Below are 17513 nucleotides of genomic sequence, written 5' to 3'. Positions count from 1 at the left end.
AATGAGGAGTCCTGAGAGTGTGGGCCTGTCCAAGCTGCCAGGCTCAGGGGTGTCCAGGGAGACCCACCGCGGGTTCGCTTTCCTGGCTGAAGCCTGGACTCCCAACCACTGCGCTAACTGCCTCCATTGCAAAGGCCTTAGGGGAGCACAGGGGTTCCCAGAGCACAGTTGTCAGGGAATGTCTCTCTAAGGAAAGGAAGGGTAAATTTGAAATCCACATTCCAGTGTGGCAGCCAGTCCTGGCATTGGCAGCAAGAGGCACCCGAGCAGATGGTGCAGCTGGCAGGGCAGCTGCCACCATCTGTGCGTCTCCTGACCTCCTGTGCGGGTGCTCCCAGGAGATGTGGTGCCCTCGACTTCACCATGGATGTAGGAAGGAGAGAAGAAAGGCAAGGGCATTCCAGGAAGAGGAACCACATGTGCACCTGCATAGAGCTGGAAAACAGTATGACCAGGCTGTGATGAGCAGGTTCAGTGTGCCTGGGAGGGCTGGGGGAGGCCAGGGTGTGGAGATGGGTGACAGCCATGCAGACAGGCTCAGCTTCATCCACAGTGGGACCGCAGGGCACCTGGGAGCGCATCTCACTCCTGCCAAGTCCCAGGTCACTATATAAATGGTCAAGAACCAGGCTGGGAGGATGTGTCTGACTCCCCCAGAGTCAAGCAGCAGCTGAGCAGTAGGAGACAGGAAGGACTATCAAGGTAAATATAATGCCAGATAAAAATACAGCCAAGTCTGATCTCAGCGATACCATCATTTTCTGTCTTCATGCTGTGTTTATTGGCTCACGTGCAAATGGGCTGGTATTGTCTAGTGAGATCCAGTAATGCCAGTCTGTCTTCCCAGGCACACGGGCATTTGGAGGAGCCACATTTAACATGGAGTGTGGGGCACAGAAACAGTGGAAATCATTGCATAATATAACAATGATCCTAAAACTGTGAATTATGTTAATTCATTTGAAAAGTTAAATCTTATTACTTTTAAACTCACTTTCTCCAGAATGACAAAGTTAGCAATTCAAGAGGTTATGCTTTGGTTTTGTGTAAAAATTCACTTAGAGCTTCTTGTTTCCAAGTGAAAGACATTACTTTATATAACATGGTATATGATGACCTCCGAGTTAGACTTTGCAGTTGGAAGCTATTTTCACACGCCAATGAATGTGACCCAATGACGCTGTTCAGATGTAGCCTAGTCCTTCTCCCACTGCAACGTTCAGGACAGATCAAACCCCCTCATTTCTCTCTTTCTCGCTCTTTTTTTTTTTTTTTTTTGAGACAGAGTCTCGCTCTGTTGCCCAAGCTGAAGTGCAGTGGTGCAGTCTCCACTCACTGCAACCTCCGCTTCCCAGGTTCAAGTGATTCTCCTGCCTCAGCCTCCCAAGTAGCTGGGATCATGGGCGTGTGCCACCATGTCTGGCTAATGTTTATATTTTAGTAGAAACGGGGTTTCACTGTGTTGGCCAGGCTGGTCATGAACTCCTGATCTCAAGTGATCTGCCTGTCTCGGGCTTCCCAAAGTGCTGGGATTACAGCACCCACCGTGGCCCCCTCATCTCTCTTGATCAGCTCTCTGACCTGTAAGAGAGGGCTACCTTTTAGTGACACCTGCTGGTAGAACCAGGTATGTAGCAGATGAAGAAATCTGGAAGGGACTTTCTATCCAGGTTTTCTCAGTTTACTCTGGGTTCCCACATACAGGGATACCACCGTCAAAACCGCAATGTTCTCCTTACTTTCAGATGCTTTTAATGATCTGGAGAAGGTGGCCGCATACCCCTGTCAACGCTGACTTGCCTTGAACTGGTTAACACCTTCCATTAACTCGGTCAATGTCAGTTCATTAGAGGAAATAAAGGGTGTTTGTAAGCTGTAACCACATAATCCCTGAAAAAGAAGGGATTTAACGTGGAACACTAATTGCCCTGCCTGAGAAAAGTGGGAACTTGGTTTAGGATAATGAGGGGGAAATTGTACTAACAAGGAAATCAGGAGATGGGTTTTCCGGTGCAGCCTCGGGCCCTTGGTAGTCAGCCAATGGTGGGCCTGCTGGTCCATCACTGGGGTCTCAGCTTCCTCACAACACATTTAAGCGCAGGCAGGGCAATGGAGGCAGTGCCTGCTGTGTCAGCAGATACACTTGAGGGCCATTTCCCGGGTCCACTGGCTTTGCTTTGAGGGGAATCTGATGTTCTGGGTCTTAACTTCTTCAGTTCTAAAATCATCATGTTAACACCTGCCTTGAAACGGTGTGTGGAGCTTCAGCTGGGATGAGTATGTGAGTGCCTTCCTGTTCTCTCCACTTCCCTTTTGGCTTTCTCTTAGGTAAAGCCAAAGGCTGGGCCAATTCATTGGCAAGCCAGATTCATTTAAAAAAGATCAAGTCTTTCAAGTTTATAAAAGTAGTACTGGATGTTTATAAAAACTGGGATGTTGATGAAATGTGCACCCCTTAGTTTTTATGTTTATACATATGTGTGCTCCCTTGCTGCTGACCTATTTTAACTTCCCATGAGTGCCTGACAGCGCTCAACAGTAAGACTCATAAAGTACACTGTTTTTTTGGTATCTGAGGGGGATTGGTCCCTGGAACCCCCAGGATATCAAAATCCGTAGCTGTTCAAATTTCTGATGGAAAATGGTGTAGTATTTGCTTATAAACTATGTACATTCTCCCCCATACTTTCAATAATCTCTAGATTGCTTATAACTAATACAAGGTAAGTGCTGTGCAAATAGTTATGATTCTTTATTTTTTAAAATGTGTATTTTTATTGTTGTATTTTAAAATTATTTTTTATTTATTTTATTTTTTGAGATGGAGTCTCACTCTTTCACCCAGGCTAGAGTGCAGTGGCACAATCTCAGCTCACTCCACCTCCTGGGTTCAAGAGATTCTCCTGCCTCAGCCTCCCAAGTAGCTGGGACTACAGGGGCCTGCCACCATGCCCGGCTAATTTTTGTATTTTCAGTAGAGACTGGGTTTCACCATATTGGCCAGGCTGGTCTCGAACTCTTGACCTTGTGATCTGCCTGCCTCAGCCTCCCAAAGTGCTGGGATTATAGGTATGAGCCACCATGCCCGGCCATATTTTTATTTTTTGTTGCTTCTTCCAAATATTTTTGATCTGCAGTCCATTGAATCTGCAGACCCGAAAATAAGGAAGGCCAATTATAATTGATTTTCTGATCCCAGGGACTTTGTGAACAAGCACTTTAGCAGAGCAAGTCTCAGCTCTCCTTGGTCTAATTCATGAGCTTGAGAGGGAATTAAACTGATTTCTGGAAAATAGTGTAGATGTGGGATGGGAATTTCATTGAGGAGCAAAGTGAAGACGCTAGATAGAAGAACTTTTACAAAGTTGTTTGAGTGTCTTCTTTGAAGCCTTTATAGTATTCCTTTTTATGTATAAGTGCTGCTTTAGCCATTGTTGGAGATCTGTAGATAAGTATCAAACATGTACAAAAAAAAAAAAAAGAAAAGAAAGAAAAAATCACCCCACTGCCACCTGCCCCACACTAACTGCAGACAAGTTTCCCACAGGGAATGCCCTTCCTTTCTGGCTTTCCTCACACTGTGGTCTCCCTACAGATTTTGCCAGACCAACAGCTGCACACCAGGGAGCAGGCGATGTGCGTGTGTATAAGGAGAGGGAGATTTTAAGGAATTGGCTCACACAATTGTGGGGGCTGGCTGCTCTGATATCTTCAGGGCAGCCGGCAGGCTGGGGACCCAGGAAAGAGCTGATGTTGCAGATCAAGTCCAAGGCAGTCTGAGGACAGCTTCCCTCTTCCTCAGCGGACCTGGGGCTTTCCTCTTAAGGCCTTCAACTGACTGGATGAGGCCCAACTACGTTGTGGAGCGTGATCTGCTTTACTCAAAGCCCACTGATTTAAATATTAATAATATTGTAAAAAATACCTTCAGAGCAAAATCTAGACTGGTTTTTGGCCAAAAGCTGAGTTCCATGGGTGCTGTGACCTAGCCAAGTTGATCCCTAAAATTAACCACCACAGCAGGTTAATACTGGGCCAGCAATCAACAGCGGAAGATGGCCTCAAGCTCTGGCAGCTGGGAGGCAGGAAGTGCACTGGAGATTCGAGAAAATTCAGGAGCCTTCCTCAGCTGGGAACATGACTGGGAATCGGGCAAGATGGAGGGTGTCCTCCAGATGCTTGTCTCAAGCCTGGAAAATGTATTTCCAATTTCTACAATGACAGGGCTGTCAAATGAAATGATGAAGACGACTTGTTTTAGAGCAACAGGGAGAGGTGTGGAAAAATCTCCTTGATTCTTCCCCTGACTCCAAGGCCGGGCAGTGCGGCAGTGTCCCGACAGTGTCCCAGCACCGTCCTGAAATGCTGGATGGGGGGCGGTCGCAAAGGGCATCGCCTGAGGGAGGGGTTGTGGCGGGGAGCTGGAGCAGGGCTGATTGGAGTGACTGACGGCCTGGCTACAGGGAGTAGAGTCTGCCCTCACTCTGATGCCAAAAATGGGCTGCAGGGCAGGAGTGCACAGGAGTGCATGTTTCCCAATAAAATAACAGCCCAGCTTTTAGGAATCAGCTTCTCCCTCCTGCCCTTCATGGTAGCTCAGGGAGACAGGAACCTGTTTGCCTTTCTTTCTGCGGTGGCAGGCTTGTGCCATTCCAGTGACTTAATTGCATCCTTACCTTCAATAGGAATGCTTTTGGCCCAGGTACAGATCTGGTTGATCTTTTTCTCAGGAAGACAGGCTTTCTCCCAGAAAGAATATTTCTCGGATTTGAGACAAACAAGTACCACACGCAAACAGAAATCAGTCTGGTAAGACGGCACTCTCTGAATGTTTCAGCTCATTTGTTTTGCTCTCTGAGCATGAGATTCTTAGCTATGATAGCCAAGCATCTACTCACAACAAATCTGGAGACTGTGTTCAACCCAGGGATTACCAGGAGGCCCCACCTCACTGGATGAGCTATGTGGCCTGGGTATCCTCAGGAAGGGGCTCAAGTTCAGACTTGATTTTATGTCTTAACGACATTTTGCATTCAGTCTCAGCTACACATAGTATTTCAAAAGGATCACATTTATCTTACAACTTACACTGGACTGCACCATCTGTACTGCGCACACTATTTAATATCTTAAATTGTGGGCTGGGCGCGGTGGCTCATGCCTGTAATCTCAGCACTTTGGGAGGCCTAGGTGGGCGGATCACCTGAGATCAGGTGTTCCAGACCAGCCTGGCCAACATGGTGAAACCCTGTCTCTACTAAAAGTACAAACATTAGCCCGACATGGTGGTGGGCGCCTGCAATCCCAGCTACTCAGGGGGCTAAGGCAGGAGAATCGCTTGAACTCGGAGGTGGAGGTTGCAGTGAGCTAAGATCTCACCACTGCACTCCAGCCTGGGCGACAAGAGCAAGACTCCTTCTCAAAATAAATAAATAAATAAATAAATAAATAAATAAATAAATAAATAAATACTGCAATTTGTGAATTGGACAGTCATAGATAACTGTATTCTTTATATTAAATTTCTGTTTGTTTATTGTTAATGTAAAATTTGCCCTAAAATCCACTGGGAACTTCTGGATTTTAGACAAGGCCTGGGCTTTTCTATCACTCTGCTAGGTCTTTCTCTGCACATTTCTGCACATCCATGTGGTGTAACTCCATGTAACCCACTGAGAGGAGGCATAATGGGCTGTGAGGTGAGTCTGGTGTGCACTGTTAACTCGGGGACCAACTGACATGACTTGGAGCTATGATAGTTCGCGTGGAGCTAGTTCATGTTGCTCTCTGTCCATCCCTTTTCTTCATCCTCAATCTGCCACGGGGAGTCATTTTCATCTCTTTTTGGCAGCAGGAATTTCTGAATTGAGTTTGAGCTAGAAACTCACATCTTATTAGTTAAAAATGTTGATTCCGAATTGCTTCTGCAGAAGAGCATTAAACATTTCTTCCCCAGCTTCATCAGCTTGTGCTGGGGAGAGTAGAGGAGACAGACAGACACACTTGTCTAACCCTCCCAGCAAATTCCATGTGCCCAACTTTTATCTTGGTACAATGACTAGGATTGCTTCTGAACTGAGTTCCAAAGAACAATGAATGGGATGAAAATTGTGTTATACAAGGGTTGTTATTATCATAAATATTATTTCATCAATATTATTTATATTACAATGGGATGAAGGAGATATAATAACTTAATTTCCACTCTGTGTAAGGAGTAAAAATACAATGCTACATTTTAGGCTAAGGGAAGTTTTATATGAATGACAAATTTTATATAAATGAAATTGCTAGTGACCGATCTTGAGTGAAATATTTAGCATAGGCAAACATTTTTTCAAGTGTACAAGGAGACATGCATGCATATTTATTGCAATATTGTTAGTAAATAATGTTGCAAAAATTTGGAAACAACCAAAATGTCTGTCAGTAAAGGAATCTATAAAGGAACGGTGTGGTCTGTCTGCACTGTGGAGTACTGTGGAGAAGTTAGACAAAAATACCTAGTCCTTTATGTGTAGACAAGGAACAACATAGAAAATATGTAGTGGAAGGGAAAAGGGAAGTTTTAACAACCATATAACATGGGAAATGAATTGTATTTCTGGGTAAATGTACATACTTACACAGTATCATTATCCAAATTTGGTGGCCATTTGAATTTAAATAATCTAATTTTCAGAAATATACTTACCCTACGATAGGTAATACACTGTGCAAGGCCCTGTATGCAATCCTAAAGACCTGGGATTCAAATTAGGAAGGGGTATGTTTTCCTAGAATTTCAGCTTATAATGTACTTACCTATAAAAATTTATGTGCCAGAATGTACTAGCCAAAGAGGATCGAGTGCTAACATATTCATTTTGGTATATTTGAATGTGACTTATTGGAGTTTAAGTCGATCTCGAGAAAATCTTTGGGTGTCCAATCATACTTTTTTTTCTTTTTTTTTCCTTTTCTTTTCTTTTTTTTTTTTTTTTTCTTGAGACAGGGTCTTACTCTGTGGCCCAGGTTGGAGTGCAGTGGTGTGATCACGGCTCATTATAGCTTTTACCTCCTGGGCCCAAGCGATCTTCCCACCTCGACCTCCTGAGTAGCTACAACCACAGGTGTGTACCACCATGCCTGGCTAATTTTTGTATTTTTTGTAGAGATGGGTCTTGTCATGTTGCCCAGGCTGGTCTCGAACTCCTGTGCTCAAGGGTCCTCCTGCCTCAGCCTCCCAAAGTGCTGGGATTACAGGCATGAGCTACTGCACCCAGCCCAGCCCACACTCTGCTTCTCAGGAAGAGAGTGAGTCCCTGAGCATGCCTCACTGGTGAGAATAGGGTGTGGCCAAAGTCAGTGGGCAGAGTCTTACAGTCCACTGAGCCTGGGTACCCTGGAGACCTTTCTATGGCACCAGCTTACAAGCAAGACTGTCTTTATGGCAGAAGAGCTTATGTCTGCTTACTTGTGGAGAAAAACAAGAAGGGAATTCTGATAATAGATACATATAGCACCTTGGCTTTCAAATCAATCCAGTGATAAGTTTAAATCTATAATTTGGTGATGAGTTCAAGCATCTTTTCACATTATTTTCAGTTAAATTACCATTATATTGTATGTAGCTGAAAATAAATTTGCAATGGCATCATTTTGTACAACTGAAAATGTACCTACCCTATAATCTAGCAATCCCAATTCCAAATATTTAGCATAGGCAAACATTTTTCCAAGTGTACAAGGAGACATGCATGCATATTTATTGCAATATTGTTAGTAAATAATGTTGCAAAAATTTGGAAACGACCAAACTGTCTGTCAGTAAAGGAATCTATAAAGGAACGGTGTGGTCTGTCTGCACTGTGGAGTACTGTGGAGAAGTTAGACAAAAATACCTAGTCCTTTATGTGTAGACAAGGAACAACATAGAAAATATGTAGTGGAAGGGAAAAGGGAAGTTTTAACAACCATATAACATTTGATAGCTTTTTTGTAAATTTAAAAGCACAAAATATTTTAAATTTGCCTATATATTAGGTTTATTTTCATATATAGACAGTTGTTGACTTACAATGGTGCAACTTATGATTTTTGACTTTACCGTGTTGTGAAATGGTTACAATTTTGATGTAATGTACATTAGTGAGTAAATTGCATGAGATAGTCAACATTTATTATAAAATAAGGAGTGTGTTAGATAATTTTGCCCCACTGCAGGCTAATGCAAGTGTTCTGAGCGTGTTTAAGGTAGGCTAGGCTAAGCTATGATGTTGGTAGTTCAGTTGTATTAAATGCATTTTTGACTTACAATGTTTTCAACTTACAGTGGATTTATAAGGACATAACCCCGTCATAAGTCAAGGAGTATCTGCATGTGTTTACATTTCATCTTATATTTATCCACATATATAGAAATGTTATGTCTGAAGAGGAGCATCAAATACATGAGTGGTTACATCTGGAGTGGGAGGCAAAGCTAAAATTAAGATGGTGCTTAAAAGATGTTCATTTTATCTACAATGTGTTTTTATATATAATTTGTGTAGTAAACATACACACGTGAAATTATGAGTAGAAGCAACTATATCAAGGTATAAATATTAATAGTAGTTAATTCTGGATGTAGACAGTAAGGATTATTATTTTCTCATTTGTACTTTTCTGAATTTTTCAGAAATTTCAAAGCCGAAAATAAGGAAAATGGTTTATCTTTTTATATTTGCTTCCTTGTTGTATTGGAATCTCATTTTGGGAGAATTATTAGGATTATTGTTTAATGCAAGAGGAGAGCCCTTTCTATAACTGTTAATTTTTAGCTTCTGTTTTTAAGAGAAACCAGTGGTTTCCAGGGTATTCGGGTCTACATAACTTAATGTCTTATATGTTTATAGGGAGGATCTCATATAGCTTACAGTTTCTTTTACTGATATAGTCTAGACATACCAAACAGCAATGGATGGTGTATAAGCAGTGCATTCCATTTAGCAAGGAGGTATAGTCACTGAGTTATTTAATAATTTTAATTGAAAATAATAGCTCCTATAAAATTTTGCTCATTTTGGCAAAGTCTAGAGAAAGATGAAGTGATAGATGATAGATTTTAAGGTACTCTTATAAAGTTTTGTGAGTCAAGTATTCTAAGATAGAACAACTTTTTATGGTGGTGAAGAGTTTTGTTTTGAGAAATTAATTGAGGGGAAGTAAATAGTTTTTGTTTTCATTTTATTCTATTACTGCCATTCTAGCGCCCTATAAAATTTCCCTGATATACTTCTCCTTGGGCCTAACATTTCCAAGCAAATAACTTCATCTTTCTTCTATACTCCTTGCGTTAGAGAGAGAAATTCAGCTCAAATTAGTTTATCAAAATGACAGCATCTGGTGTCAGGGATCTGGAAAGTCAAGGAGTAAATTTGGTCTCAGGCAATCCTGGGTCCAGGGCTTTGTTTCTTTCATTTGCTATTTTGGCCCTATGTGTTTCTGCTGGGCCTTTATTCCTAGGCTGGCGCTTTCTTGAGTGGACAAGATGAGGTAGTGACCCTAGATGTTCATTTTCCTTAGAGCTCTGAACCCCAGAGAGAGAACATGACTTTTATTCAGCAGCCATGTCAATGCTTAAAAACAACTCCAGCTGGCCTGGCTTGGGTCATATGTTCCCCATGGAAGAAACAGTATGCCCGTGGAGATGCTGCCCCCAGTTAACCACCCTGTTCCGGGCAGGAAGAGGCCCCTGCTTGACGTCTTTACCATAATGACATGGAGTGGGGCGCCTCGTTCTCCAACTGAAAGAGGGGCTCTAGGCAGAGCAGTCCCTAAGTCTTCCAAGTGTGCATGGCATTTGTTTGATCCTCTGTTGTATCACAAACACTATGCACCCTAGTCCTGTAATAACTTGCTTGACATCCCCCCACTGAACTATCTGTGCTCAGTAGCAGGGACCCTATCTTGCTTATCTTTGCATCCCTATTACTTAACATGATAGGTGGCACATAGCTGACACGCAATTATTTACATGCTGAATAAAAAAGATGTGGACTCATGAAAGAGAATGTTGGTTGTGGAGTAACGTCTCTCTCAAACTAATTGTTCTGTTGATTTAATACTTTGTAGAAGGCCATTGTATTCCTGTACTGTGAAGAAAAATTAAGTAATTAATAATTTTTGCTAAATTCAAACAGTGGTGTTGAGTTGATATGTGACATCTAATATATCAATTATTTTCCAAACTAAATGTACTCAACTGACATATTGCCATGTATAGAATTTGTTTTACTGGCATACAAATAAAACCTAAAATAAATGGTGTAACTGTCTTTAACACTTTGCAGAGCTCTATAAATAGCCACATTTGTCTGGCATCCTGTGACAAGCATATGGCCCCAGAGATGCAAAATTTGCTATAAACAGTGCACCTCCCTAATGATTAGTGTATGATGTGCACTAGTTCTGTCTTAATTATATTTAGTCCTTTAGTACTGTATGTTTGATCATAAAAGGAGATTTAGCCTTCAAGCTTCTGGAAATAATGGCAGAATGCAGTCAACATATTATAATCGTTCTTCACCTTTTTATGTTCCCAGAGACTTGAGGTTTAACAGAATAAGAGAAATTCCAGGGAGCGCCTTCAAGAAACTCAAGAATTTGAACACACTGTGAGTACTTATTGCTTATCTGTAAGGTTCCTAAAATTATATGCTGGTTGGATGGCAATTTACCGTGAAAGTCATTCTGAGTGTCAAGAACAGCTAGTAGAAGAATGACACCTTGTAGATGTCTTATAACTGGGAAAATTCTGCTGCTTCTTTACACTGCCTATGTTTTTATAACCTTTTGAACATGGAAGAGATTCTTATTTATCCAATTTATTTGTATTCTATTGGTTTAGAAAAGCTTCATGAGAAGAAGAAATAGGGAGAAGGAGGGGTTAAGTAACTTGTCTATGAGTCCCATGGCAAGAAAGCAATAGAAATGAAATTAAAATTCACAACTTTCTAACTGCAAAGCCCATGCTCTACTCAGTATGCTACTAGGCCTTCTTATTTGTGATACTCTAAAACAAAGAATAGCTTTAGAATCATGTAGAGATGCTGTTTTATGATAGTCTTAAATGAAAACATATCATGTAGAGAAAAAAATGACAACTTTATGGCTAAGCACTGATAAATGTTTCCAAGTTTAAAGGCATTTATTTTATTCACTTAACAGTATCTATTATCTATTGTGGGCTACCAGTTGGCTGGTTTTGTATTTGGATCCGAATGCACATGCCCCTGCTATGATACAACTGATGGTCTGACATTGTGGGGCAGTCAGGTAGCCAACACCCAACTGTAATATGTCTGTAATAGAAAAAATTCCTATGTATAGTAAGTGCTATAAGGAGAAGAGACCTATGAGAGATGATGACTGGAGGTTCAATATATAAAATCTTCCTATGCTGCATTTAGATTAATCCACTGAGTGAACACACTGAAAGTTAAGAATCTTCAGTGAGGCTAGACCCATGTGGGCGTGTTTGTCTTCTTGTCATAATATTCTCATGATAGAGTTAGCAATTTTATCAACTTGGCTGAACTCACCATATTCAGGCCAAGCTAGCCCTTCTAACTTTAGAGTTGAGATCATAACTTTACACTTGTGCTTCTCCCATCTGGTTTCTTTCCAGTAACTGATGCCGGAACACACATATTTTTATCACAGTATCTCTGTTTGGGATGATGTAAGAACATAAGAAAGTAAGGACTGCAGGGTTTATTCTTTGTTTTACAATAAAGCAATGATTATCAAAGTGCAATGTACGAAAACATTTCCTGGAGTGCTTGTGGACATGCAAATTCCTAGCCCTCTTCCCCAGGGATCCTAATTTAGGACTTCTCAGGATGGGCCCAAAGATCTGCATTTGATTATTATTATTTTTTTCTTTGAGACAGAGCCTTGCTCTGTCGCCCAGGCTGGAATGCAGTGGCACAATCTCGGCTCACTGCAACCTGTGCCTCCCGGGTTCAAGCAATTCTCCTGCCTCAGCCTCCTGAGTTGCTGGGATTACAGGTGTCTGCCACCATGCCCGGCTAATTTTTGTATTTTTAGTAGAGACAGGGTTTTGCCATGTTGGCCAGGATGGTCTCAATCTCCTGACCTTGTGATCCATCCGCCTCGGCCTCCCAAAAAGTGTTGGGATTACAGGCATGAACCACCACGCCCAGGCTATTGAGTATCTTCTAATGAGTATTTCTGGGTGAAGCCTTTCACCACTGTCTACTGAAACATGTATATGATAGATAATCAAATATTTTATCCATTGATTAAATTGTGAATATGATAAAATGTTATAAAATATTTTCATTAGAGATAGTTGCCATTTAAAAAATTCAAGGAGTGTGACAAACTGATAAAATCTATTGGGGTTTGGCCACTTTTTGGAGTTACAGTACACAATTATTGATGAACACTAATTATTGATGAATAATCCACTTCTTCACTTGGCAGAAACCATGGATAATATTAATTTGTTTCTAAATATTTTTTATTAGAAAACCGTAATAAAATAGTAATTATGTTGTTAATTGCAAGCCTCATTTTATACTAGTTGCTTTATATACATTATCTATATTCCTTTCTTTCATGCTTTGTGGTAGGTGTTACTACGTTCATTTTACAGATGAGGAAATTGAGGTTCATGGCTGTAATGTAATTTACCCAAATTGAGGCAGATAGAAAAGAGCAGAGTCAGGGTTCCACAGAGTTTGATCTGTTAACTGCTGGACTATATGGTTTCTCATGATAGCATTCAGGAAAAGTACTTCCCTGGAATACAGATGGTAGATCATTTAAACAGTAAGTTGTGTGTACATGTGGTTGGTGTGTGTGTGTGTGTGTGTTTGTGTGTGTGTGTGTGTGTGTGAGAGAGAGAGAGAGAGACAGAGAGACAGACAGTAAGAGAGAGAGAGAGAGAGAGAGAGAGATTTCTGTCTAGAAAATGAGTTAAGCAATGAGACACTTACCACTCCTGAGACTTCAGAGGAATTTGTTAGTCCAGTTAAGTGAAGATCCAAAGGTCTTTACTAATTTATTGTAAAAGCAAAAGAAATAAGGACACATTTTTTAAAAAATAAAGTTAAATTTTTCATGAAGAATATTAAAAATTTTGACCATATGGCTCTTATATGAACACAGCATCACAAAATGAAATCAAGCATCTGGTGATTCTATTTCCTTGGGTTGCCTTTATAGTAAATTGCACAGAAACTCCAATGTTTTCTTACAATTTAAAAAAATGCCAACCACATTGCTTCTATATTGTAAAAGAGAGGGTTTTCTCAAAAACAGTTGGCATTTTTGTATTAAACAGAGCTTGCTAAGAGGTTTACTTAATAAAAAATCCGGAAATGTTATGTATTGCTGGAGCCTAAGAGCTAGAGGGTAAGATCAAGGATCTGTTATCAGACCCTGAATTTCACCCGCTGCAGCACAGCCAAGTGGTGCCTGGCAGAGCTCTGTGACTTGCCAGGGTGCCTCTGCCTTCCAGTTTCTGGATGACACTGATAAGAGTAATACATTTGGGAAACAGGCTCAAATTCAATTCTGGACAACACAGTCATGCTTATAAAAAAGATGATTGAGCCCTGGAGGAAGAGCAATGCTAATAAATGCCAAGGACAAAAGGTTAGACTATACCACAAAAATAAAATAAATGCATGCCACTATTTAAATAGCAACAACAGAAATACGAAGATCTGATTCTAGGGCTGATACTCCTCACTCATCTGCCTTCTGGAAGGAAGGCCTAATTGAAAAGCAAGATGAAAAGAACCTTGAGAAGAACGTCAAAAGGGAGGGGTTGGGGGGTATTTCTGGTCCTTCCAATTGTTTTGTGAAGTGTGGCAAGTTATTTAACTCCTTAAACCTTAAGTTTACTAACATTTCCTCTGACGTTTTATTTTGAAAATTTCAAAGCTACCCAAATCTCAAAAGAAGGGCATGATAATTGCTTTGTACATTTTACGTAAAATTCACTAGTTAACATTTTGCCACATTCACGTTTCTCTGTCTCCCCACACTCATCTATGTGTGTTTATTCTAATTTGGCCGAATCGCTTCCAAATTATATACTACGCTTTATTCCTAGGTAAGCTATATAGATACAGGTGCAGTTTGTAGAGTGTTTAACTAAATATCACATATAATTAGTTAATGTATGTATTAATATTATTGTTAAATGGCATTAAATTATATGTTCTATTTATTTCATGCTAGTAGATAAAATGCAATTGATTTTTGTATATTGATATTGTATCCAGTGACCTTACTAAATTAATCCTCACTAATTCTACTCATTTGCTTATATCCTTTGGATTTTTGTAATTACACAATCATGTCCTTTGGAAATAAACAGTTTTCCTTTCCAATCTGTATACAGTCTCAGGGGACAGCACGTGATATTAGCTGTAGCTTTTTTTGTAAAGCTTGTATTGAGAAGATAGTGGCATATGATGAACTAGTGATCGATTTGTGGCAAAACCACTGATAAGAGTTAGGTCATTTTGTCTTTGCTCTTACCAAATTCAAAACTAAATGCATCATTCTCACTTTTGCTGTTCAACAATCAACCTTATCACTAGTGGCTAATAGACTAATTTATCTCCACAAACTTGGCACTGCAGCATAAATTGCACTGAACTTCACCAACATGAGACCAAGTCTTCTGCCTATTGACCTGATCTGATCCTAGAGGTAGTTCTCCTAGGGCAATTTCCACAAGCAACAGGGCCTGAGCACTGAATACAGTGCTAGCTTATTGGAAAATGGTCATGGTAAGGCAATGTAAAAAAGACTCTGGCTGATCTCTTCCTAATAAATTTCTCTTCCTCATTATCCTACAAAACAAAATCACAACATCAGGAGAATAAAACCAAGTTAAGTGGTCTTGTCTATTTTTCAAACTTTTATACTCGATCATGGCAGAAACGTTTTGGGTGGCTATAGGGTGAGTGAGAAGAGTCAGGGCAGATCAAAGGAAACTTCCAATTAGTAAATAGTTGACTTTAAAATCTACTGGAAGACTTATTTTTTTTTAATCTATGCCTGTACATTGTTAAATTTTGAATATTACTCTTAATCTCTTGACTTTGTCTGTATATAATACTATTTTGCTGTATATAATAAAGGAGCATTTAAGATACAGTACTCCTATGGAATCAATTCAAAGGTGACTAACTGGAATTTTTTTTTTTTTTTTTTTTGAGACAAAGTCTCTCTCTGTTGTTGAGGCTGGAGTACGGTAGCAGATCTCAGCTCACTACAACCTCTGCCTCAGGGGTTTAAGTGATTCTCCTGCCTCAGCCTCCCAACTAGCTGGGATTACAGGCATGCACCAGCACACCTAGCCAATTTTTTGTATTTTTAGTAGAGATGAGGTTTTACCATGTTGGCCAGGCTGGTCTCAAACTCCTGACCTCAGGTGATCCACCCACCTCGGCCTCCCAAAGTGCTGAGATTACAGGCATGAGCCACCATGCCTGGCCTGGATTTTCACTGTCCAAAGAATGTTTCATCTGCAAAACAGATCAATAATGAGAATTTTTCTAAAGTCAATAAAATGTTTAATCAAAAATAAAAAGTAAAATAAAAACATAATTAAAAAGAAAGAAATAGCATTAATGTATGCACAATTAGCAATACTAAATATATTACAGACTCCCCCCCAACTAGAAATATAAAATTAAAAATTATAAGGGGATTTTCTCTTTATTGTAAACATGTTATGTGTGAAGTGTTGTGGTAGGTGCTTTACAATGACTAAATATGTGACCTTGAGTAAATTGTTTTACTCCTTGGATCACAGTTTCTTCACCTACAAAGCTAAGAGATTATGTCTTCTAGTATTAAACATTTACCCAATTTCCAAAAGAATAAAAGATTCAGCTCTAGACAAGATTTAAAAGGAAAATTGTTATAATTACAGGTTAAAAAACACAGTACGTTTAATGGGAAAGTTTCAAGTCTCATAACACGTGTGTTATTTGCCGACTTTCCTCTTTCAAGGTGAAAAGGCTGTTTTCAGATTCATGAGAAAATGACAATTAAACCAAGGCTGGGGTCTATGTCGGTGCTGCAACTACTGCCGTTTTTTTCCTCGAGCATGTCTTGTCTGAAGGGCTGAAGACACAGTTACCAGCCAAAGAGGTTTCTCTTTTCTTAAAGCATGTTGTTTGACACGGAAATTTTACTAGCTTTTCTTTAAAAATCCCTTAAAAATTAATGATGAAATGTTTGCACCCATATTAATTGTTTCATCCTCTTATTCATTGTTCTTCACTTGTGTGTCCTGTTAGTAGAAGAAAAAGGAAAGTATATAAATAGGAAATGTATGAGCACTAAATCAAATTTGGAATTTCTACCCATTTGTAATTTTTTATTATGTTGTTTAAATGTGATTTTTGACAAAGTTTTTAAGCATAGTAAAACATTTTAGTAAAAACACATGAAATCATTATAACAGCATAAGTATAAACATAATGATAGCTTTTAGAATCTTCTACCTGGGTGAGAGCTCAAGTTCTGACTTTCATTAGCTGTATGATGTTAGTTTCCATATCTATAAAAGAGGATAATCATAGCGCATATAATTAATGTAATGATTAAACAAAATAATACATGTAAAATATAGTGTAAGGAATGCAAAGAAGTTATATTAATTTTCTAGGGCTGCTTTAAAAAAAATCACCAAAGCCTTGGTGTCTTAAATGGAAAGAAATGGATTCTCTCACAATTCTAGAGACCAGAAGCCTGAAACGAAGGTGTGGGCAGGACTGCCTTCCCTCCAGAGGCTCTGGGAGAGAAACTTCTCCTTGCCTCTTTTAGCATCCAGGCCCTGCTGGCATCCTTTGGTGTTTCTTGCCTTGAGTCCACATCACTCCAATCTCTGCCTCTATCTCTCACTAAGAATTGCTTTCTATTCAGTGTCTGTAGAGTCTCTCTTTTACAGGGATAGTTGTGATTGGATTAAGGGCCCACTCTGAATAATCCCATTTCAAGATCCTTAATTTAATCACATCCCCGAAGATCCCTTTTCCTTATCAGATAAAATTTACAGATTCCAGGAATTACGACCTGATATTTTTGGGTGGCCATTATTCAGCCTACTACAGAAAGGTAAAAGTTTATTATCATTAGTTATGATTGGCGGTGGTAGTAATAGTCGTAATGAGAGTAATTATAGTAGTTGTACTGTAAGAGTGACATATATTTAGACACCCTACTTTTGAGTTGCAAAAAGAAGAATGATGCATGAAAAAGGCTATCCTTTATGTGACTTTGGAAACTAACACCATAAAAGCAAACGTTATATGAAGCCCAAGATGTCATACCATCTAAGAATCAAATATTCAATATTTTACAGTGCTTTTCTTGATATTAAAAAATAGGCAAAAAGTAAAAAGAAAGAAGCTAATATTGTTGAGTCCCTTCTCTGTGTCTAATTATAAATTCTAATAATAAATATTAAAAATAAAGTCAATATTATGGAG

General features: G+C 39.7%; 1 protein-coding gene across 7 annotated transcripts in view; it reads left to right on the top strand.

Moving 5' to 3' along the window:
* The window catches only part of PXDNL (peroxidasin like), a 489869-nt gene that overhangs the window by 144117 nt on the left and 328239 nt on the right, over positions 1-17513 (top strand). For all 7 annotated transcript variants that reach the window (XR_007060701.1, XM_047421364.1, XM_047421365.1 and 4 more), the window contains one exon: positions 10569-10640. Coding sequence is in view for 5 of the 7 variants with exons in the window: in XM_047421364.1 (XP_047277320.1) it covers positions 10569-10640 (72 nt within the window). In the remaining 2 variants the exon portion in view is untranslated. The remainder of the gene's footprint in view (positions 1-10568; positions 10641-17513) is intronic.

Source organism: Homo sapiens, chromosome 8, assembly GCF_000001405.40.
Source record: "Homo sapiens chromosome 8, GRCh38.p14 Primary Assembly".
In the NCBI taxonomy this organism is placed as follows: Eukaryota; Metazoa; Chordata; class Mammalia; order Primates; family Hominidae; genus Homo; species Homo sapiens.
Note: the sequence above shows the minus strand (reverse complement) of the source record. Positions and strands in the feature narration are given on the sequence as shown.